The sequence below is a fragment of the Homo sapiens genome, chromosome 10 (genome assembly GCF_000001405.40).
Source record: "Homo sapiens chromosome 10, GRCh38.p14 Primary Assembly".
In the NCBI taxonomy this organism is placed as follows: Eukaryota; Metazoa; Chordata; class Mammalia; order Primates; family Hominidae; genus Homo; species Homo sapiens.
In genome coordinates, this window is record NC_000010.11 from 99176827 (window position 1) to 99202697 (window position 25871).

At 37.5% G+C, this 25871-nt stretch overlaps 1 protein-coding gene across 13 annotated transcripts in view, besides 1 other annotated feature; it reads right to left on the reverse strand.

Annotated features, from left to right (window-relative positions):
- HPSE2 (heparanase 2 (inactive)) overlaps window positions 1-25871 on the reverse strand; it is an 858875-nt gene that overhangs the window by 719750 nt on the left and 113254 nt on the right. The gene's annotated exons all lie outside the window — the stretch shown is intronic.
- Window positions 13805-14305: an enhancer, noted in NCBI's record as "H3K27ac hESC enhancer chr10:100950388-100950888 (GRCh37/hg19 assembly coordinates)". NCBI's record gives its function as "activates a minimal SCP1, AML or CMV promoter by ChIP-STARR-seq in naive H9 embryonic stem cells {active_cell/tissue: H9 hESC(naive)}" and the evidence as "EXISTENCE:reporter gene assay evidence [ECO:0000049][PMID:30033119]".

Genomic DNA, 25871 nt, shown 5'->3' on the forward strand with positions numbered 1-25871 from the left:
ACCAAGGTTGAAATGAAGGAAAAAATGTAAAGGGCAGCCAGAGAAAAAGGTCGGATTATCCACAAAGGGAAGCCCATCAGACTAACAGGGTATCTCTCTGCAGAAACCCTACAAGTCAGAAGAAAGTGGGGACCAATATTCAACATTCTAAAAGAAAAGAATTTTCAACCCAGAATTACATATACAGCCAAACTAAGCTGCAGAAGTGAAGAAGAAATAAAATCCTTTACAAACAAGCAAATGCGCAGAGATTTTCACACCACCAGGTTTGCCTTACGAGAGCTCCTGAAGGAAGCACTAAATATGGAAAGGAAAAAACGGTATCAGCCACTGCAAAAACATACCAAATTGTAAAGACCATCATCTCTATGAAGTAACTACATCAACTAATGGGAAAAAAAAAACAGCTAACATCATAATGACAGGATCAAATTCACACATAACAATATTAACCTTAAATGTAAATGAGCTGAATACCCCAGTTAAAAGACACAGACTGGCAAACTGCATGGAGTCAAGACCCATCAGTGTGCTGTATTCAGGAGACCCAGCTCACGTGCAAAGACACACACAGACTCAAAATAAATGGATGGAGAAATATTTACCAAGCAAATGGAAAGCAAAAAAAAAGCAGGGGTTGCAATCCTAGTATCTCATATAACAGACTTTAAACCAAAAAACATCAAAAAAGACAAAGAAGGGCATTATATAATGGTAAAGGGATCAATGCAACAAGAACAGCTAATTATCCTAAATGTATATGCACCCAATACAGGAGCACCCAGATTCATAAAGCAAGTTCTTAGAGACCTGTAAAGAGACTTGGACTCCCACATGATAATAGTGGGAGACTTTAACACCCCACTGTCAATATTAGACAGATCAATGAGACAGAAAATTAACAAGGATATTCAGGACTTGAACTCAGCTCTGGACCAAGCGACCTGATAGACATCTACAGAACTCTCCGCCCCAAATCGACAGATTATACATTCTTCTCAGCACCACATCGCACTTATTCTAAAATTGACCACATAATTGGAAGTAAAACATTCCTCAGCAGATGCAAAAGAACAAAAATCATAACAAACTGTCTCTCAGACCACGGTGCAATCAAATTAGAACTCAGGATTAAGAACTCACTGAAAACCATACAACTACATGGAAAATGAACAACCTGCTCCTGAATGACTACTGGGTAAATAACTAAATGAAGGCAGATATAAATAAGTTCTTTGAAACCAATGAGAACAGACACAAAGTACCAGAATCTCTGGGACACAGCTAAAGCAGTGTTTAGGAGGAAATTTATAGCACTAAATGCCCACAGGAGAAAGTGGGAAAGATCTAAAATCAACACTGTAACATCACAATTAAAAGAACTAGAGAAACAACAGCAAACAAATTGAAAAGCAAGCAGAAGACAAGAAATAACTAACATCACAGCAGAACTGAAGGAGATAGAGACACGAAAAATGCTTCAAAAAAATCAATGAGTCCAGGAGCTGGTTTTTTGAAAAGATTAACAAAATAGATAGGCCACTAGCCAGACTAATAAAGAAGAAAAGAGAGAAGAATCAAATAGACACAACAAAAAGTGATAAAGGGGAGATCACCACTGATCCCACAGAAATACAAACTACCATCAGAGAATACTATAAACACCTCTACGCAAATAAACTAGAAAATCTAGGAAAACCGGATAAATTCCTGGACACATACACCCTCCAAACATTAAACCAGGAAGAAGTCAAATCCCTGAATAGACTAATAACAAGTTCTGAAATTGAGGTAATAGTTACTAGCCTACCAACCAAAAAAAGTCCAGGACCAGACAAATTCATAGCCAAATTCTACAGAGGTACAAAGAGGAGCTGGTACCATTCCTTCTGAAACTATTCCAAACAACAGAAAAAGAGGGAATCCTCCCTAACTCATTTTATGAGCCCAACATCATTCTGATACCAAAACCTGGCAGAGACACAACAAAAAAAGAAAATTTCAGGCCAATATCCCTGATGAACATCGATGCGAAAATCCTCAATAAAATACCGGCAAACCGAATCCAGCAGCACATCCAAAAACTTATCCACCACGATCAAGTTGGCTTCATCCCTGGGATGCAAAGCTGGTTCAACATACACAAATCAATAAACGTAATCCATCACATAAACAGAACCAAAGACAAAAACCACATAATTATCTCAATAGATGCAGAAAAAGCCTTCGACAAAATTCAACACCCCTTCATGCTAAAATCTCTCAATAAACTGGGTATTGATCGAATGCATCTCAAAATAATAAGACCTACTTATGACAAACTCACAACCAATATCATACTGAATGGGCAAAAACTAGAAGTATTCCCTTTGAAAACCAGCAAAAGACAAGGATGCCCTCTCTAACCATTGCTATTCAACATACTATTGGAAGTTTTCGCTAGGGCAATCAGGCAAAAGAAAGAAATCAAGGGTATTCAAATAGGAAAAGAGGAAGTCAAATTGTCCCTGTTTGCAGATGACATGATTGTATATTTAGAAAACCCCATCGCAAAATTTCCTTAAGCTGATAAGCAACTTCAGCAAGGTCTCGGATACAAAATCAATGTGCAAAAATCACAAGCATTCCTATACACCAATAACAGACAAACAGAGAGCCAAATCATGAGTGAACTTCCATTCACAATTGCTACTAAGAGAATAAAATACCTAGGAATCCAACTTACAAGGGATGTGAAGGACCTCTTCAAGAACTACAAACCACGGCTCAAGGAAATAAGAGAGGACACAAACAAATGGAAAAACATTCCATGCTTATGGATAGGAAGAATCAATATCGTGAAAATGACCATACTGCCCAAAGTAATTTATAGATTCATTGCTATCCCCATCAAGCTACCACTGACTTTCTTCACAGAATGAGAAAAAAAAAAAACTTTAAACTTCATATGAAACCAAAAAGGAGCCCACATAGCCAAGACAATCCTAAGCAAAAAGAACAAAGCTGGAGGCATCACACTACTTGACTTCAAACTATACTGAAAGCCACAGTAACCAAAACAGCATGGTACTGATATCAAAACAGATATATATACCAATGAAACAGAACAGAGGCCTCAGAAATAATGCCACACATCTACAACCATCTGATCTTTGACAAACCTGACAAAAACAAGAAATGGGGAAAGGATGTCCTATTTAATAAATGGTGTTGGGAAAACTGGCTAGCCATATGCAGAAAGCTGAAACTGGACCCCTTCCTTATACCTTATACAAAAATTAACTCAAGATGGATTAAAGACTCAAATGTAAGACCTAAAATCATAAAAACCCTAGAAGAAAACCTGGGCAATACCATTCAGGACATAGGCATGGGCAAAGACTTCATGACTGAAACACTGAAAGCAATGGCAACAGAAGCCAAAATTGACAAATGGGATCTAATTAAAGAGCTTCTGCACAGCAAAAGAAACTAATTATCAGAGTGAACAGGCAACCTACAGCATGAGAGAAAATTTTTGCAATCTATCCATCTGACAAAGGGCTAATTTCCAGAATCTACAAGCAACTTAAACAAATTTACAAGAAAAAAACAACCCCATCAAACAGTGGGTGAAGGATATGAACAGACACTTCTCAAAAGAAGACATTTATGCAGCCAACAAACATATGAAAAAAAGCTCCTATCACTGGTCATTAGAGAAATGCAAATCAAAACCACAATGAGATACCATCTCAGGCCAGTTAGAATGGCGATCATTAAAAAGTCAAGAAACTGGCTAGGCACGGTGGCTCATGCCTGTAATCCTAGCCCTATGGGAGGCTGAGGTGGGTGGATTGCCTGAGCTCAGGAGTTCGAGACCAGCCTGGGCAACATGGTGAAATCCCGTCTCTACTAAAATACACACAAAAAAATTAGCCAGGCGTGGTGATAGGCATCTGTAGTTCCAGCTACTCAGGAGGCTGAGGCAGGAGAATGGCTTGAATCCGGGAGCCAGAAGTTGCAGTGAGCCAAGACTGAGCCACTGCACTCCAGCCTGGGCAACAAGGCAAGACTCCATCTCAAAAAAAAAAAAAAAAAAAAAAAAAAAAACACAGATGCTGGAGAGGATGTGGAGAAATAGGAACACTTTTACACTGTTGGTGGGAGTGTATATTAGTTCAACCATTGTGGAAGACAGTGTGACGATTCTTCAAGGATCTAGAACCAGAAATACCATTTAACCCAGCAATTCTAATACTGGATATATACCCAAAGGATTATAAATCATTCTACTATAAAGACACACGCGGCCGGGCGCGGTGGCTCACGCCTGTAATCCCAGCACTTTGGGAGGCCGAGGCGGGCGGATCACGAGGTCAGGAGATTGAGACCATCCCGGCTAAAACGGTGAAACCCCGTCTCTACTAAAAATACAAAAAATTAGCCGGGCGTAGTGGCGGGCGCCTGTAGTCCCAGCTACTCGGGAGGCTGAGGCAGGAGAATGGCGTGAACCCGGGAGGCGGAGCTTGCAGTGAGCCGAGATCCCGCCACTGCACTCCAGCCTGGGCGACAGAGCGAGACTCCGTCTCAAAAAAAAAAAAAAAAAAAAAAAAGACACACGCACATGTATGTTTATGGCACTGTCCACAATAGCAAAGACTTGGAACCAACCAAAACGCCCATCAATGATAGACTGGATAAAGAAAATGTGGCACATATACAGCATGGAATACTATGCAGCCATAAAAAAGGATGAGTTCATGTCCTTTGCAGGGAATGGATGAAGCTGGAAACCATCATTCTCAGCAAACACACACAGGAACAGAAAACCAAACACTGCATGTTCTCACTCATAAGTGGGAGTTGAACAATGAGAACACATGGACACAGGGAGGGGAACATCACACACTGGGACCTGTGGGGGTGGGGAGCTAGGAGAGGTATAGCGTTAGGAGAAAGACCTAATGTAGATGACAGGTTGATGGGTGCAGCAAACCACCATTGCACGTGTATACCTATGTAACAAACCTGCACATTCTGCACATGTATCCCAGAACTTAAAGTATAATTTAAAAAAAAAAGAAGAGGGAGATTAGGATATACAAAGAGATGCACCAGGGACACTTGCTCACAGAGGAAAGACCACGTAAGACCACAATGAAAAGGCAGAGCCATCTGCAAGCCAAGGAGAGAGCCCTCAGAAGAAACTAAACCTCCTGACACCTTAATCTTAGTCTTCTATCTTCCAAAACTGGGAGGAATAACTTTCTGTTGTGATTAATAAATGTTTGATGTTTAAGCCACCAAGTCTGTGGTATTTTGTTATGGTAGCCCTAGCAAATTAATGTACTAAGCTTAAGGATAATTTTAAAAGAGACCTCTTTACTTCTTCTCTTTTAGCGATTTTCCTCAACTCCTCCAAATCCTCTAATTCCAGGCTTCTACATTCTGCCAATGTACACAAGGTCAGAGGCCAACTAATCACCTAGTTTATCCCCCTTATTTTACAAGTGATAAAACTGGGCCCAAAAAAGTCAAATAACTTAGCCAGATCACACCTTGTTTGCGGTAGATCCAAGACTAAAAGCCAGGTATCCAGACTTCCAGTTCTATAACATTTCTATGCCTTTAGATGCCTTACAAATATTTAGCAAGCTGCTTGTACTGTTATGCTTCCTTTCCCATGGGACACTTTTGTATGCTAAGCAGATATTCAAATATAAAAAGATCCAAAGTAATGATTATTTTATGATGGAATTATAAGCACCCTGAAAGGCAGTCCAGGAGATATCTGGGGACAGGGAGACATTCTGAGAAACTTAAAATCATAATATGATTTTTGGTATCCAGTAATTATGGAATAACAGGAACCAGATTAACCATCCTATCTTGGAAACCTAAAAAACAGGCCAGGCACAGTGGCTCACACCTGTAAATCCAGCACTTTGGGAGGCTGAGGGGGCAGATCATGAGGTCAGGAGATCGAGACCATCCTGGCCAACATGGTGAAACCCTGTCTCTACTAAAAATACAAAACATTAGCCAGGTGTGGTGGCAGGCGCCTGTAGTCCCAGCTACTCGGGAGGCTGAGGCAGGAGAATGGCGTGAACCCGGGAGGCTGAGCTTGCAGTGAGCAGAGATCACGCCACCACACACACACACAAAAAAAACTAAAAAACAAATCAAAATACATAAAACAACAGTTTCAGATATAGGTAAACAGAAAGTGCAGGACAGTGATCCCTGAGGAAGGAAAAACAAATAAGGTGAGCCCTATGAGTACCCCCACCTCAATGCCTACAGACAGTTTTCAGACTGTAGTACAGGCAGGAGGATTCCAAACAGAGCTCAGTAGTCTTACTGAGTCAAGGAAACACAATTCAGAGTTAAGAGTGGCCAAGGCAACTAGAATTTATAGGACAGAGTATAGGAGACGGATTTTCACAAAGAGCAAAAGCTCCAGAGACCCACAGAGAGGTTCCCTGATGGTATTTAGGTAATGACCTATGCATATATGTAAGGATACTACTGAGGCAAGGAAAGTAACATAAATGGCCCCAATAGTCCCTGTACACAGTTGTTTTTGGATAAACATGGAAACTGACCTTTCTGCTGTTAAAGCTGGAAACTTGTATTTGTTTTATCCTCAAGAAAGGATCTTCAGGCCTCTCAAAAAAGTATCAAAGAACAGAAACTCACAAGATCACCACACTACATGCCTCCTTGGCCCTCCCTAATTCCTGTTTTCTTACACATTGTTACATTTCTTCCCTGCTATATAAACCCCTAATTTTAGTCAATCAGGGTGATGGATTTGATGCTGAGCTCCCATCTCCTCAACTGCAGCACCCAATTAAAGCCTTCTTCCTGGACAATACTTGTCATCTCAGTCATTGGCCTTCTGTGCGGCAAGCAGCAGGACCTAGACCAAACCCCTGGTGTTTCTATAACAGAACCACCAGGAAGAAGTAAGTGAAGCAATCACCATAGTTCACATAGGACCAGAATAGTTCACTTTGGACAGCCAGACTGAAAAGACTTCATAACACGTAAGGCACTGAGTAAGAAGGGTATGAATACAGAAGGGTACTGACAGCCTCAGAAAGCCTCAGTAGAGAAGCCAAATTAGCATAGACTAAGAACTGTTTTTTACCACTCTAACAAATTTTGAAGAAAGCCTTAAAAAACAAAAAAACTGACTCCAAGGAACTTAACTTCATCCCAGAAAAAAACAAAAAAAATATTTAAAGGAATATCAAATCAACTAGCACCCAACAACATAAAACCCAAAATGTCTGACATCCAATTAAAAATTACCAGGCATATGAAGAAGCAGGAAAATATGATCCATAAAGAGGAGAAAAATCAATAAACATAAACAGATATCAAAATGACACAGATGGTAGAAAGAGTAAGCAAAGATAAGAAAAAAGCAGCCGGGCATGGTGGCTCACACCTGTAATCTCAGCACTTTGGGAGGCCAAGACAGGCAGATCATTTGAGGTCAGGAGTTTGAGACCAGCCTGACCAACATGGTGAAACCCTGTCTCTACTAAAAACATAAAAATTAGCCAGGCTTGGTGGTGCATGCCTATGGGCCCAGCTATTCGGGAGGCTGAGGCAGTGGAATCGCTTGAACCCAGGAGGTGGAGGTTGCAGTGAGTTGAGATCATGCCATTGCACTCCAGCCTGGGCAACAGAGCGAGACTGTCTCAAAAAAAAAAAAAAAAAAAAAAAAAAAAAAAAAAAAAGCTAAGAGGAAGGCCATTAAGAAATATATTACATATGTTCAAGAAGGTAGAGGAAAACAGGAGAGTAATAATGAGAACTATAAAATGTATAAAAGACACAAGTTGAGTTTCTAAAAATAAATATATAGCAGAAATGAAAAAATATTAGATTGGATTAACAGTAACTTAAACATTGCTGAAGAAAAGACCAATGGAGTTGAAGATGTGGCAACAGAACTATCCAAAATTATATATATATATATATATATATATATATATATAGAGAGAGAGAGAGAGAGAGAGAGAGAGAGAGAGAGAGAGAGAGACAGAAACACTGAAAAAATGATGTAACAGAGGATCACTGAGCTAACAGCTTATATTAACTGGCCTAACATACAAGTAATTGGTACCTCCAAAAAAATGAAGGGAGAAGACAGGAAAAAAGTATTTGAAACCTTAATGGTCAAAACTTCTAAATTGGCTGGGTGCAGTGCTTCACACCTGTAATCCCAGCACTTTGGGAGGCTAAGGCTGGCAGATCACCTAAGGTCAGGAGTTCAAGACCAGCCTGGCCTACATGGTGAAGCCCTGTCTCGACTAAATATACAAAAAAAAATTAGCCAGGTGTGATGACGTACACTTGTAATCCCAGCTACTAGGGAGGCTGAGGCAGGAGAATCACTTGAACCCAGGAGGCAGAGGGTGCAATGAGCCAAGTTCATACCACTGCACTCCAGCCTGGGTGACAGAGCAAAGACTCTGTCTCAAAAAAATAAAAAATAACACAAACTTCTAAACTAAATGAAAACTATAAACCCAGAGAACACCCAAGAAGAAGAGATAAGAAGAAAACAATACCATAATCATCATAACCGAATTGCCAAAAACTGGAGATGAAAAGAAATTAGCCAAATGAAAAAGGCACATACAGGTACTGAAAAATAGAAGTGGGGCTGCCAGGTGCAGTGGCTCATGCCTGTAATTCCAGCATTTTGGGAGGCTGAGGTGGGCAGATCACGAGGTCAGGAGATTGAGACCATCCTGGATAACACAGTGAAACCCCATCTCTACTAAAAATACAAAAAATTAGCCGGGCGTAGTGGCGGGTGTCTTTAGTCCCAGCTACTCGGGAGGCTGAGGCAGGAGAATGGCGTGAACCCGGGAGGCGGAGCTTGCAGTAAGCCGAGATTGCACCACTGCATTCCAGCCTGGGCGACAGAGTGAGACTCCATCTCAAAAAAAAAGAAAAAGAAAAAGAAAAGAAAAATAGAGGTGGGGCAGGGAGGAATGATGGCGGATGTTTTGTCAGAAACAATACAAGCAAGAGAAGATAGATCAATAGAAATTATCTAAATGAAATGCAAAGAGGAAAAAAGAGTGAAAAAAACGGAATAGAGAATTCAAGAGCAGAGAAACTTGGTATATGCATAATTGGAATCCTAAAAGGCAAAGAGAGAAAGAACAGGGCCAAAGAAATAATGGCTGAGAAATTTCCAAAATTAGTGACAGACAATAAACCATGGCCAGATCCAATAAACACTGATAACACTAAGCAGGATAAATAACCACACACACACACACACACACACACACACACACACACACACACACACACAAGGCATATCATAATTAAACTGCTAAAAACCACAGACAAAGAGAAAATCTTGAAAGCAGCCAAAGGAAAAAGATACATTGCCTATAAAGGAATAAGAATAAGAATTGCAGACCGGGCATGGTGGCTCACACCTGTAATTCCAGCACTTTGAGAGGCCAAGGCAGGCAGATCACAAGGTCAGGAGTTCGAGACCAGCCTGGCCAATATGGTGAAACCCTGTCTCTACTAAAAATACAAAAATTAGTCAGGCGTGGTGTCAGGTGCCTGTAGTCCGAGCTACTCAGGAGGCTGAGGTAGAAGAATCGTTTGAACCCGAGAGGCGGAGGTTACAGTGAGCCAAGATTACGCCAGTGTACTCCAGCCTAGGTGACAGAGTGAGACTCCATCTCAAAAAAAAAAAAAAAAAAAAAAAAAAAAAAAGATTTACAGCAGACTTGTCATCAGAAACTATGGAAGAAAATGGACTGACATCTTTAAAGTGCTGGAAGAAAAAAATGTTAACTCAAATTCCATACTATGCAAAAAATCCTTCAAAAATGAAGAAAACAAACTTAAATTCCTGGAGGCATGCTTATTCTTTAAAAAATATTAAAGAAAAGGCCTTCAGACAGAAGGAATATATGTCAAAAACATTTTTTTGTGAGACAGGGTCTCATTCTGCTGTCCAGGCTGGAGTGCAGTAACACAGTCACGGCTCACTGCAGCCTCAGCCTCAACCTCCCTGGCTCAAGCTATCCTCCCACTTCAGTCTCCCTAGTAGCTGGAACTATAAGCACACACTCCCATGCCCAGCTAGTTTTTTGTATTTTTTGTAGAGATGGAGTTTTGTCATGCTGCCCAGGCTGGTCTCGAACTCCTGGACTCAAGCAATCCCCAAACCTCAGCCTCCCAAAGTGCTGGGATTATAGGCATGAGCTACCCCACCCAGCCTCAAAAACTTGAATATAAAAGAAAATTGAATAATATCAGAAAAGAAAGAAACAAAGATAAAATCAAAATCACTTTTTTTCTTATTGTTAATCATCCTAATAGGTAACAATGTTTCAAGCAAAGATGGGAACAAAAAATTTCATGTATGGAATATGTTGGAGTGAAATTATGACATCAACAGCAAGAGGTAAGACAGAGAAGTGTACTTATACTTTGCATGAAGCAGTATAATTTTTGAAAGAAGACTGGTTATTTTAAAATGTATTTTATAAACTCTAGGACATAAAAAGCACAAATTACTTTTTAAATTATGAATTGCATTTCATCAAAATTTAAAACTTTTACTCTTCAAAAGACACTTTAAGAAAATGAAAAGGCAAACCAGATACAAGGAAAAATATTTACAAAACAAATATCTGACAAAAGACTGGTATTCTGAATATATAAAAACACAGTTCAATAATAGGACCAACAACTCAATTTAAAGATAAAGAAAGGATGTGAACAGGAATTTCACCAAAGTATACAAATGCCAAATAAGCACATAAAACAATGTTCATTATCATTAGTCATTAGGGAAATGCAAATGAAAACGTAGTAAGATACTACTGAATACTCACTAGAACTGCTAAAATTAAAAAGACTGACTATAATAAGCTTTGATAAGGATGTGGAACAACTTTAACTTTCACACATTGCTGGTGGGAATGCAAAAATGGTCCAAGCACTTGGGGAAAAAGTTTGGCAATTTCTTAAAAAGTTAAACATATACCTACTACACAATCCATGAAAACCACTCCTAGGTATTTGCTCCAAAGAGATAGAAACACATGTCCATGAAAAGATATAAATCTTCATAGCAGTTTTATTCATAATACCCAAAACTGGAAACAACCTAAATTTCCATCAGGTGGTAAATGGATAAGCAAATTGTATAGTAAGCAAATTCATATCCATGGTTTCTGCAAGGCCAACTACAGGACATGAGCATCCATGGATTTTGATACCCACGATGGGTCCTCCAATCCCCTATGGATATTGAGGGACAAGTGTATATATACATTCAACATAATAATACTTACAATAAAAAGAAACAAACTATGCAACAACATTGATGAATCCCCAAAACATTACACTAAGTGAAAGTAGCCCAACTATAATGACAGAAAGCAGATCAGTAGTTCCTAGGGTGAGTGGGGTGAAGGGTTGACTGTAAAGCGGCAAGAAGAAACTTTTTGAGGAATAGGAATGTTATATCAGTATGGTAGTAGCTAATGAATGAACATATTTATCAAAACTCACCAAATTATATACTTAAAAATTGGCAAATTTTACCTAATAATGTTGACCAATTTAAAGGTGATAGGGAAGAGGAGGAGAAGGAACAGGAATTCTTTTAAAATCATTTGCAAAGGTTATCTCTTGTTTTACCCATTCACAGGGTAATTCCTCGCCTAAATCTAATTGAGATATCTACTAAATATACTGGAAACAACAGCAAATCATACAACATATTGGAAAAAAGCATGGCTATCATCTCCTAGTTCTTTAGAACTTCAAAGAGGAGGCTTAATCTTAAAGCCACTGTAATAAGAGAATGTTTGGGAGTAAAAGTAGGACTCAAATAGGACTTGGAAGGCAGGATAAATGTGAGACAGAAAAAGAGCTTTTGGACAAGTGAAATAATTTGTTTAAATATTTTTATAACATCGAAATGTAAATTCATTTGCAGAGATGAGAAGCTATCCTTGGAAAAACTCCCTGAGCTCCTCATGGACTAGTCTGTGTGCTCATGACTTCTCAGTCCTGAGGAAAATTGGAAATTCTACACTCCCTTCTCTGCAAGAGTCCTGTTCCTCCACATGACTTTTTCCTCTTTTAACACAAGAGACATCTAATTAACTTTTCTGCCACATGCAGCTGGCACCAAGGCAAACCAAACTGTGGAGTGGCTGACCCAGAATTACTGATGAATGTTGAAAATAAACATGCTTTCAGCCAATCTGGAATGGTATATTTCTAAGAAGACAGAGAACTCTTAAAATTAATTAACTCATCCAGACAAACTGTCCATCCAATGCAAGTTTTTCAGTAATGAATATCAGACCACAGATCTTCCTGCAGCTGAGCTTGTTTATCATACAAGGAGGCTGCTTCTGCATGTCTCATGGATAACTTCATGATTTTTATTTTTACCGGCTTCTGGCTTCTTGTATTTATATAAACAGGCCAAGAAAGCAAAACAATATGAGAGTAAGTTTAAATGGAAGATACCACATTTCCCCAAAAGACAGAAACACCTAACTTTCTCTCCTTTTCCACATGTCAGAGTAGACAATTAAGGAGAAAAAGACCCTGACCTTGGGAGGAGAGGAGAGGGCCTCAATAAAAAGCATGAACTTACTTAAGCGGTTCTGTCATTGTGTTGAAATTCTAATAAAGTGCTCTCTACTGCAAAGTTTGTGTATATGGGAGCCATGCACAAAATAACACCAGAACCACATGAAAACTGTAGCTTAACCCTAAATTAGGAAGTTCCAAAGTTGGTGTCCCGAAAGAATGCATTTGGCTGCAGGGTACAGATAACCAATGCCATACCAAGCAAGGATTTTTCTGTTGTTTTGTTTGCCTGTTTGCTTGGTTTTATTCATGTAGAATATAATCTTCTGAATGGGCTCTGACTGTGGGTCTAAAGGGAACAGTGCATCTCTTATGCGTCCATTTTGAGACAGAAGTAAACCCTTGAAAATTTCTAAAATGTCTTCCCTTCCTTGGAATGAATTGACCACACTGTCTGATACCAAGTTGTTGCTGTTCTTTAGTCAGAGAGGGCCCAAGGGCTGCTTTGGCCAGCTTTGGAAGCAGAGACAGGGCCTCCAACCCTCTGCGAACTAGCCTAGGTGGATACCTCTGTTAATGAATCTCCACTGTCTTTCTCTCTATGGGCTTTTTCTAACATCTTTCAGTACTGAGTCCTTTCTGTCACAAATCACTTTATGGGGCAACCATGTAGTGACTTATCTAAATGAACAGAGTAACTACCATTTGTTAACTACCTACTATGCATTGGGCATTGTGCTAATACTTTACATATATAATATGATGTCATTTCACAACAACACAAAGTGGTAATACAGAGTTTTAACTAATAGTTCAAATTCTAGAGTCAGACTACTTGGGTTAGATGTCTTTACTTCATCTCTTATAAGCTGAGGGACCTTGCAGAAGTTACATAATCTCTTTGTTCCTTAGTTTCCGTATCTATCTATAATACAGAAATAATGAAAGAATCTGTTACATAGAATTTCTGTAAAGATTGAAGTACTCAATAAGTATTAGCTATTTATTATTTCTGTTTTACAGATTAAAAAACAACAACAACAAAAAACTAAGGCCTAGCAACATTAACTGACTCGTCCACACAGTTAGAGTTCATATATATGTCTGTCTGACTCTAAATCCAGCATCCTTAACTGCTATACCACTTTGACTTCCCAAAATATTCTCAGGCCCAGACTTTCTCAAAGCATGTTCTATGGAAAATGGAGAGGAGGAGGCAGAGCAAGATGGCCAAATAGAAGCCTCCAGCAATTGTGTTCGCCCTTCCGCCACCCATCCCCATGCAGGAACACCAAATTGAACAACTATCCATACAAAAAAAAGCACCTTTATAAAAATAAAAAAATCAGCTTGGGTACCAGCTCAGCCACAGTGGAACAGAGCACCAGGCAGGCTCCTGGGAGTCCCCAGCTCTAGGCCTTGGCTCCTAGATGGCGTGTCTGGACCTGCCCTGGGCCAGAGGGGAGCCCATAGCCCTGAAGGGAGAGACTCAGGACTGGCAGCATTCAACACAAGCTGACTGAAGAGTTCTTGGGCCTTGAGTGAATATTGGCAGTAGCCAGGCAGTACTCACAGCAGGCCTAGGGTGGTCGTGGCCACAGGGAGAGACTCCTCTGCTTGAAGAAAGGGGAAAGAAGAAGGGGAAGGACTTTGTCTTGAGGTTTGGGTGCCAGCTCAGCAGCAGTGGAATAGAGTACCAAGTAAATTCCTAAGGTTCCCAACTCCAGGCCCTGGCTCCCAGACAACACCTCTGGACCTACCTGGGGCTGGGGGGTAGTTCGCCACCCTGAATGCAAGGAAACAAGCCTGGCTGGCTTCACCACTGCTGACTGTAGACCCCTTAGGTGGCAGCCAGGCACTTATGACCATGAACTGTCACCGAGACCCAATGCTATGCTGGTTTCAGGTCTGACTCAGTGCAGTCCCAGGGGTGGTGAACATAGTGGTGCTTAAGTCACCTCTCCCCTATCTCAAGGCAGCTCAGCACAGAGAGACACAGACTGTTTCCATTTGTTTGCAGGCAAAGTAAGGGAAGGAAACAAGAGTCTCTGCCTAATCCAGTGAATTCTCCTGGATCTTACCCAAGACTCCCAAGGCAGTACCTCTATGACACTGCATGAGCCACACTGTTACTTGGCTTGGGGTGCCCCCTCATGCAGATATAGCTGCAGTGACCAAAGACTTACATCACAACACCCAAATCCCTTTGAATACGTGGAAAGCGTTCCCAAGAAGAATGGGTACAAAAAGACTGTGAAGACTACAATAAATATCTAACTCATCAACGCCCAGACACCAACGAACATCCACAACCATCAACAACATCCAGGAAAATATGACCTCACCAAAAGAACTAAATAGGCCACCAGGGACCAATCCTGGAGAGGCAGAGAAATGTGACCTTTCAGACAGAAATTCAAAATAGCTGTTCTAAGGAAACTCCAAGAAATTCAAGATGACATAAAGAAGGAATTCAGAATCCTATTAGATAAATTTAACAAAGAAACTGAAATAATTAAAAAGTAGCAGAAAATCTGGAGATGAAAAATGCATCAATATCCTTTAATTATAGAATTAATCAGAAGAAATAATTAGTAAGCTTGAAGATGGGGTATTTGAACATACATAGAGGAGACAAAAGAAAAAAGAATTTTTTAAAATGAAACATACCTATAAGACCAAGAATATAGCCTCAAAATGACAAATCTAAGAGCTATTGTCCTTAAAGAAGAGGTAGAAAGAATGAAGTAGAAAGTTTATCCAAAGGGATAATATCAGAAAACATCCCAAACCTAGAAAAGAAATCAATATTCAAGTACAAGAAGGTTATAGAACACCAAACACATCTAATACAAAGAAGACTATCTCTCAAGACATTAAATAATCAAACTCCAAAAGGTCAAGGTTAGAGAAAGGATCCTAAAAGCAGCAAGAGAAAAGAAACCGGTAACAAAGGAGCTCCAATACATCTGGCAATGGACTTCTCAGTGGAAATCGTATGGGCCAGGAAAGAGTAGCATGACTTTTTTTTTAGACAGAGTCTCACTGTGTCACCTATGCTGGAGTGCAGTCGCACAATCACAGCACACCACAGACTTAACCTCCCAGGCTACTGTGATCCTCCCACCTCAGCCTCCCAAATAGCTGGGACTACAGGCATCTGCCACCATATCTGGCTAATTTTTTTTTTATTTTGTATAGATGGTGTTTCACCATTTCCCAAAGCTGTTCTCAAACTCCTGGGCTCAAGCGATCCTCAGCTTCCCAAAGTGCTGGGACTGTAGGCATGAGCTACTGTGCCTGGGCAGCATTACATATTTAAAGTGCTAAAGAAAAAACTTTATCCTAGAATAGTATATTCAGCAAAAATATCCTTCAGACATGAAGGAGAAATAAAAACTTTCTCAGACAAACAAATGCTGAGGATTTTCATCAATACCAGACCTGTCCTACAAGAAATCCTAAAGGGAGTTTTTCATATATAAAAAAAAGGATGTTAATGAGCAATAAGAAAACATCTGAAAGTAGAAAACTCACTGGTAATAGTAAGTGTGCAGAAAAATACAAAATATTATACCACTATAATTGTAATATATAAACTACTCATATCTTGAATAGAAAGACTAAAAGATGAACCTATCAAAAATAATAACTACAACAACTTTTCAAGACATAGACAGTACAATAGGATATGAATAGAAACAATAAAATGTTTAAAAGCAGAGGGGAAAGAGTAGAGTTTTTATTAGTTTTCTCTTTTCTTGTACAATCAGTGTTAAACTGTCATCAGTTTAAAATAATGAGTTATACGGTATTATTTGTCTCATGGTAACCTCAAATCAAAAAGCATACAAGTACCAAAAAATAAAAAGTGAGAAACTATAACATACTACCAAAGAAAATCACCTTCACTAAAAGGAAGACAGGAAGAAGGAAAGAAGGAAGAGAAGACTACAAGACAAGTAGAAAACACATAACAAAATGGCAGAAGTAAGTCCTTAGTTATCAATAATAACATTGAATTTAAAAGTCTAAACTTTCCAATCAAAAGACATACAGTGGCTGAATGGATAGAAAAAAAAAAACAAGACCCAGTGATCGGCTGCCTACAAAAAACACACTTCACCTATAAAGACACACACAAACTGAAAATAAAGGGATAGTAAAAGGTATTCAGTGCCAATGGAAACCAACGAAGAGCAAGAGTAGCTATGTTTATATCACATGGAATAGATTTCAAGATAAAAACTACAAAGAGAAACCAAAAAGGTCATCATATAAGAATAAAGGGGTCAATTCAGCAAGAGAATACAAAAATTATAAATATATAGGCACCTAACACTGGAGCACCTGATATATTATAAAAAGCAAATATTATTAGAGCTAATGAGAGAGATAGACTCCAATACAATAGTAGCTGGAGACTTCAACACCCCACTTTCAGCATTGGACAGATCATCCAGATAGAAAATCAACAAAGAAATACTGGATTTAATCTGCACTAGAGACCCAATGGATCTAATGAATATTTCATCCAAGAGCTGGAGAATACATATTCTTATCCTCGGTACATAGGTCATTCCCAAAAACAGACCACGTAAGGCCACAAAACAACTCTTAAAAGTTCAAAAAATTAAAATCATATCAAGTATTTTCTCTGAATGTAACAGAATAAAACTAGAAATTAATAATAAGAGAAATTTTGAAACATAGAACACATGGAAATTAAACAATATGTTCCTAACTTATTGGCAGCACAATGAAGAAACTAAGAAGAAAATTTAAAAATTTCTTTAAATAAATGAAAATGGAAGCACAACATACCAAAACCTATAGGACACAGCAAAAACAGTACTAAGAAGAAAGTCTGTAGCAATAAATACCTACATCAAAAAAAGTAGAAAAACTTCAGATAAACAATATAATGATGCATCTTAATGAACTGTAAAAGCAAAAGCAAACCAAACCCAAAATCAATAGAAAAAAGAAATAATAAAGACCAGAGCAGATATCAATGAAACTGAAACAAAAAATACAAAGGATTGATAAAACAAAGAGTTCATTTTCTGAAAAGACAAACAAAATCAAATCTTTAGCCAGATTAAAAAAAAAACCCAAATAAATACAATCAGAGATGAAAAAGAAGACATTACAACTGATATTGCAGAAATTCAAAAGATAATTAGAGGCTACCTGAGAAACTACATGCCAATAAACTGGAAAACCTAAAAGAAACAAACACATACAACTCACCAAGATTGAACCATGAAAAAAATCCAAAACCTGAACAGACCAATAATAAGTAATGAGATCAAATGCTAATAAAAAGTCTTCCAGCAAAGAAAAGCCCAGATCCAATGGCTTCACTGCTGAATTTTATTAAACATTTAAAGAAGAACTATTACCAAACCTACTCAAACTATTCTGAAAAATTAGAGAAGAAGGAAGAACTTCCAAATTCATTCTACAAGGCCAGGATTATCTTGATACCAAAACCAGACATATTAAAAAAAGAAAACTACAGGCCAAAATCCCTTATGAACATTGTTACAAGAATCAATAAAATTCAACCAAGCCAAATAAACAACATATTAAAAAGATCACTCACTCGGACCAAGTGGGATTTATGTCAGTGATGCAAGGATGGCTCGACATAGGCAAATCAATCAGTATGATACATCATGTCAACAAAAAGAAGGACAAAAAAAGATCATTTCAACTGATGCTAAAAAAGCATTTGATAAATTCAACATCCCTTCATGATAAAAACCCTCAAATAACTAGGTATATAAGGAATATGCCTTAACACAATAAAAGCCATATACAATAGAGCCACTGCTAGTATCATACTGAATGGGCCTTTCCTCTAAGATCTAGAACAAGACAAGTGCACCCAATTACACCACTGCTACGCAGCATAGTACTGGAAGTTCTAGATATAGCAATAAGACGAGAAAAAAACAAAGGGCCTCAAAATTTGGAAAAAAAAATCAAATTATCCTTGTTTGTACATGATATAATCTTATATTTGGAAAAAAACAAAGACTCCATTAAAAAAAAACTATTAGAACTGATAAGTTGAGTAAAGTTGCAGGATATGAAATCAACATACAAAAATCAATAGCATTTCTATATGCCAACACAAACAATCTGAAAAAGAAATCAAGAAAGTAATCCCACTTACAGTAGCAAGAAATAAAATAAAACACCCAGAAATAAGCTTAGCAAAAGAAGTAAACAATCTCTACAGTGAAAACTATAAAACATTGATGAAAGGAATTGAAGAGGACACCATAAAAATGGAGATATTCCATGTTCATGCATTGGAAGAATCAATATTGTTAAAATGTCCATTCTACCCATAGCAATCTACAGATTCAATGCAATCCCTATCAAAATATCAATGACATTCTTCACCAAAATAAAAAAAAAATCCTAAAATTTATATGGAACCACAAAAGACCAAGAATAGCCAAAACTATCCTTAGCAAACCTAGCAAAACTGGAGGAATCACATTACCTGACTTCATATTATACTGCAGAGGTATAGTAACCAAAACAGCATGGTAGTGGCATAAAAACAGACACATAGATCAACGGACAGAATAGAGAACCCAGAAATAAAAACATACCTCTACAGTGAACTCATTTTCAACAAAGGTACAAAGAACACACACTGGGGAAAGGACAGTCTCTTCAATAAATGGTGCTGGGAAAACTGCATATCCATATGCAGAAGAATAAAACTAGGCCCGTATCTCTTACTGTATGCAAAAATCAAATCAAAATGGATTAAAAACTTAAATCTAAGACTTCAAACTATGAAACTACTAAAAGGAAACATTGCAGAAAATCTCTAGGACATTGGTCTGGGCAAAAAATTGTTGAGTAATACCCCACAAACACAGGTAACCAAAGTGAAAATGAATACCCTGGATCACATCAAGTTAAAAAGCTTCTGCACAGCAAAGGATTCAACCAACAAAGTGAAGAGACAACCCACAGAATGGTAGAAAACATTTACAAACTACGCATCTGACAAGGGATTAATAACCAGAATACATAAGGAGCCCAAACAAACTCTATAGGAAAAAAAATTTAATAATCTGATCAAAAAAATGGGCAAAAGATTTCAACAGACATTTCTCAAAATAAGACATACAAATAGCAAACAGGCATATGAAAAGGTGCTCAACATCACTGATCATCAGAAACATGCAAATCAAAACTGCAAGGAGATATTATCTCACCCCAGTTAAAATGGCTTACATCCAAAAGACAGGCAATAACAAATGCTGGCAAGGATGTGCAGAAAAGGAAATCCTTGTACATTGCTGGTGCTGGTGCAAATGTAGATTAGTATGACCACTATGGAGAAGAGTTTAGAGGTTCCTCAAAAAAGCTGAAAATTGAGCTACCATATTATCCAGCAATCCTACTACTGGGTATATACCTCCCAAAAAAGCAAATCAGTATATCAAAGAGGTATCTGCACTCTTGTGTTTGTTGCAGCACTGTTTACAACAGCTAAGATTTGGAATCAACCTAAGTATCCATCAACAGATGAGTGAATAAAGAAAATGTGGTATATATACACAATGGAGTACTATTCAGCCATAAAAAGGAATGAGATTCAGTCCTTTGCAACACCATGGATGGAAATAGAAATCATTATGTTAAGTGAAATAAGCCAGGCACAGATAGACAAACATTGCATGTTCTCACTTATTTGTGGGATCTAAAAAGTCAAAACAATTAAACTCATGGACATAGTAAAAGGATTGTTACCAGAGGCTGGGAAGGGTCATGGGGGGTTGGCAGGGAGGTGAAGATGGTTAATGGGTACAAAAAAATAGAAAGAATGAACAAGACCTACTGTTGGCTAGCACAACAGAGTGATTACAGTAAATAATAAAATGTACATTTTAAAATAACAAGAGTGTATGTGGATTGTTTGTAACTCAAAGGATAAATGCTTGAGGGGATGGATACCCCATTCTCCATTATGTGCTTATTTCACATTGCATGCTTGTATCAAAATATCTCATGTATCCCATAATATATATACCAACTATGTACACAAAAATTAAAAATAAAAATAAGAAAACAAAATAAATAATACTGCTAAGAAAAGAATGAGTATCCACCTGACAGAGTTTTTTGAAGATTAAATGACACATACATGCGAAGCACTTAGCAAATAGTAAAATATCATGTAAATGTAATATAGAAATACTAATATAAAACATGAGTCTGATGAAGATAAACAAGACAGAGAGAATATATCATTTTCATAGACTCAGTAACACCCGAGCATAACACTACTAAACTGTAAACTTAAAAATGGTTACAATGGGCCAGGCGCAGTGGCTCACACCGGTAATCCCATCACTTTGGGAGGCCAAAGCAGGTGGATCACCTGAGATCAGGAGTTTGAGACCAGCCTGGCCAACCATGGCCAACATGGTGAAACCCCAGCTCTACTAAAAATACAAAAATTAGCCAGGTGTGGTGGCGCACACCTGTAATCCCAGCAACTCGGGAGGCTGAGGCAAGAGAATTGCTTGAACCCAGGAAGCACAGGTTGCAGTGAGCCAAGATCGTGCCACACTCCAGCTTGGGCAACAGAGCAAGACTCCGTCTCAAAAAAAAAAAAAAGTGAATTTTTTCCAAGGCCACAGTAATTTATTACCAGCTAATAAGATACATTTCTTGAGGAATAAAAAACAATCAAAAACAGCAAAGGCCCAGTTTCAAATCTTACTAATTATGTCATTTCACACAACTCACACGTTTCTGAATCTCAGATACCTCATCTTTAAAATGTGAGTAATAATAATTTTTTCTCAAGGTTTAATAAATGTTTAAATGAAACAAACTATATTAAATATTTAGGACAGTGTCTGGTACACAGTTAATGTTCAAAAATAACAGTTTCCAGCATTTAGTTTGAAGGAGCTTACTCTCCTCATAATCAATACATCTTTGCATAAATCAAAAGCAGTAACTACTGTATGATTCTCCAACGTTTTTATTGCACAAGGTATGGGAGAAATAAAAGACATGGACTCCACTTTTATAGAGCTTACAACTGAGTTATGATACCATAAATAATAACAGATGGCATGATTTTATTGAAATGGCAAATCACTACTCATGACCTAACTATAGGTAAGACTCATAGTACAACACTTTAAAACCTTAATATGTACATATAATAAACTTTAGGGTTTTATAATATGAAGGCTATGATGGAAATTTTTTATATTATTGTGGTAATAACACAACATGAGCTCTACCCTCAGTTTTTACAAATAACTGTTGTTAACTAAGGTCACAAAATTCTACAGCTGATCTTAATGAATTAATTAATCATCGTGCATATGTGAAACTTTATACCCACTGGATAATAATTTCCCATTTTCCTCTTCTCCCAGTACCTGGAAACCACCATTCTACTCTTTGTTTCTATTAGTTTGACTATCTCAAATACTTCATATAAGCGAGATCATGCAATATTTGTCCTTCTGTGATTAGTTTATTTCACTTAGCATAATGTGCTCCAGGTTAATCCATGTTGTCACATATGACAAAACTGCTTTCTTTTTAACGCTGAATAATATTCCATTGTCTTTTTATACCACATTTTTTAGTCATTAATCCATCAATGGACATTTAGGTTGTTTCCACATCTTGACTATTGTGAATATTGTTGCAAGGAACATGGGAGTGCAAATACCTCTTTGAGATTTTAATTTCAATTCTCTTGGAATGAGAGGATTTCTGGATCATAAAGTATCTTAATTTTTTAAGGAACTTCCATACTGTTTTACATAGTGGCTGCACCATTTTACATTTCCATTGATAGTATAAAAGGGTTCCAGTTTCTCCACATCCTCACCAACAGCTATCATTTTTTAAATAATAGCTATCCTAACAGGTATGAAGTGATATCTCACTGTGGTTTAATTTGCATTTCCCTGATGATTAGTGATACTGAGTCTTTAGTCCATTTTGGCTTGATTTTTGGGTATGGTATAAAATAAGGGTCCGATTTTATTCTTTTGCATGTGGATATCCCGTTTTCCCAACATCACTTGTTGAAGGGACTGTCATTTTCCAATTGTATATTTATGGCACCCTTGTCAAGGATTATTTGACCATATATGCATGGTCTTATTTCTGGGCTCTCAATTATGTTCCTTTGGTCTATATGTCTGTCTTTATGCCCTTACAAAACTATTTTAATTAATGTAGCTCTGTAATATATTTTGAAACAAGGACACGTAACGCCTCCAGCTTTGTTCTTTCTCAAGAATGCATTGGCATTTCAAAGTCTTTTGTGATTCCAAATGGATTTTTTGAATTGTTTTCTCTGTTTCTGTTAAGAAAAACAACAGACATTGAGATTCTGATAGGGATTGCATTGAATCTGTAGATTTCTTTCGGTAGTATAGACACTTTAAAAATATTAATTCTTCTAACCCATGAACATGGAATGTCTTTCCATTTATGTGTGTCTTCTTCAACTCCTTCATCAATGTTTTGTAGTTTTCAGCATAGTAGTCTTTCACCTCCTTAAGTTTATTCCTAAATATTTTACCCTCTTTGATGCTATTGTAAATGGAATTGTTTTATTTCCTTCTCAGATAGCTCAATGTTAGTGTAAAGAAATGCAACTGATTTTTGTATGGTAATTTTGTATCTACAACTTTACTGAATTCATTTATTAGTTCAAAATGGTAAATTTTATATTATGTGTTTTTTTTACCACAATTAAAAAAATCACCTGGGCAGCTAGTGACCCATTACTATTAGTAACTGCCTGACTGAAATGTGTTCTGCATGTAGCAAAGCGATAGGCACCTGGAAACATGACATCAAACATTTTATAAGTAACTCTTTGTCCCTATAACCAGATTTCTCGTTAGGAAGTACAATAATATTAGGATGCAAGTTTTTATAGCTCTAAAACTGATGCTGAAGAGGTACCTGGAAGTGTTTTAGCAGATATTGTAGAGATTTGGGGTCAAGTGATCTGAGTTCCTGTCCTAGCTCTGACATTTATTAGCAGTACAACCTTCAACAAGTTATTTAACATTTTCAGCTTAAACTTCCTCATTTGTGCAATAATAAAAATGGTACCTACCTCATAAGATGGTTATATGATAATTAAATAAAATGGTAGGTATAATATGAATACAATGCCTGGTTCATATTAAATGTTTTAATAAGTATCATCAATAATAAAATGATGACAATGATGATGATGACAAGTAACAGGGCCATTCACTCACCCAGTCCTTGTTTCTAAGCAAGAACATATAATTGTAAGAAAACAGGTTAGGTTTAGCAGCACATTATTAGCTACAGAAAGATTTTCCCCTCTATATTAACTAGATTCATATGTATCTGTCACACTGGTATGTCATATTTAGCTGTATAAGAAGGTATCTCACATACAAAAGTACTTCCTACCCATGTACCAATACTTGGAAACCATTTTTTAACCCATCCTCAACTATCAAATTGTCTGCCTGCATTTTGGCTTTTAGGAGAGGACTCAGGCAAAAAGAATAAATAGGTAAAAGCAGAAAAGTGAATTGTTTTCAGCTGATTTGACAGAGCCAAAAATCTAATCTGCACTGAATTTTTGAAAATTAAGTTTGAGTCATGCCCATGTTATTAACTCCTCAGTTTATAAGCATTATTTGATCCCAGTACATTTTCCAAAAAAATACAAATGTCTCCCTTTCATACTGCAACTCAAATACAAATAATTGCAAAGGATATTATCCAGATCAAATCAATTACCATATCCTGTCAATTTTTCCTTTGTAATGAGTCCCTAACTATCCCTTTCTTTTCCACTGCTGCTTGACTAATGTAATCATGCTCATCTCACTCTTGAATATCTTCACTAGCCTTTTTGGTCCTTCTAACCTAGGCAACCTCACCACTATTCTATTCTGTCCTGTGAGGAGCCATGAGATAAATCTTCCTAAAATATCACACATAATTTTCTTAGTCACAATCCTTCCTTGACTCCCTATTGTTTAAAGAAAAATCAAATCCCCTTATCTTAATTCTAAAGCTGTCTCAGATTGTCTTCCACAATCTGATCTCAACCCCTACAACTTCATTTTTCAAGGAAAGTCTTTTACAACTAGTTCCTAAACTACATTAGTATATTGGAAATGGAATTTGCCCAATGACACATTATTATTATCTGTAACTTATCCATTTCCAAACATTAGGCACTTTGTGAAACACAAACAAGAGTATCCCTGCCTTTCCAAATACTCCTGATTATGACTAAAAACCTCAGAAAAGGGATCAAAGGTTAATATGCATAAAACAAAAACTCATTCTATATTCCTTCATTTCCAAGAAAACCTTATTTCTCAGCCTAGACTCCTAGTTTTTTCCAGAGCCCTTCCAACTCCCAAGAAACCAAAATGGCCAGAAGATGAACACGACGCCATACTCCATGGTGGTAACTCATTAGCCCACCACAATATCACCAGGGTCTCACGATGCTCACTTCCATACTCTAACCACAGCCATCTCCTATTCTAGTAAATAAAACGAGATCACTGGAAGAGCAAGCCAGGTGCTGGAAGTAACAAAGTAAATCCACTGCCAGGCCAGAATACAATCTTTACCTTCCTCACATCTGATATATAGATAGATAGAGATATAGATATAGATAATATAGATATAGACAGATATAGAGATAGAGATATCAGTTATATATAGTGATTTTTAAAACACCATGATATACTCAAGAGCAGAGATACCAGGAACAGAGATGATGAAATGCAGAGCAAATCCTCAGGCATCATTATTTGATACTAAGAGGATCGTTAGCCCCTATTTGGCTTTTAAATGTTATAAGGGTATTCAGAAATTCAATATAAGGATGCAAGTATTTCTGATCAACCATATATATTCATCGCTAAACTAAAAATGATGATACTTTTAAATGGAGCAAGAGTAACCATGTATTGTTGAAGACGACAGATTTTAGAATCATTAGCACTAATTCCCAAATCCTAGTTGTAAAGCTGGGACAAGTTATTTAACCCCTGCTGAACTTCAGTTTCCTCATCTTTAAAATGGCAGTATTTTATCACATGTACCCCCAAAATATGTATATCTATTATGTATCAATTTAAAAATGAATTAAATGGTGGTATTTGGAAACCTGCTTAGTAGGGTAGTTGTGAGGATTAAATGAGATAAAATATAAAGCAGAGTCCCAGCCAGATGTC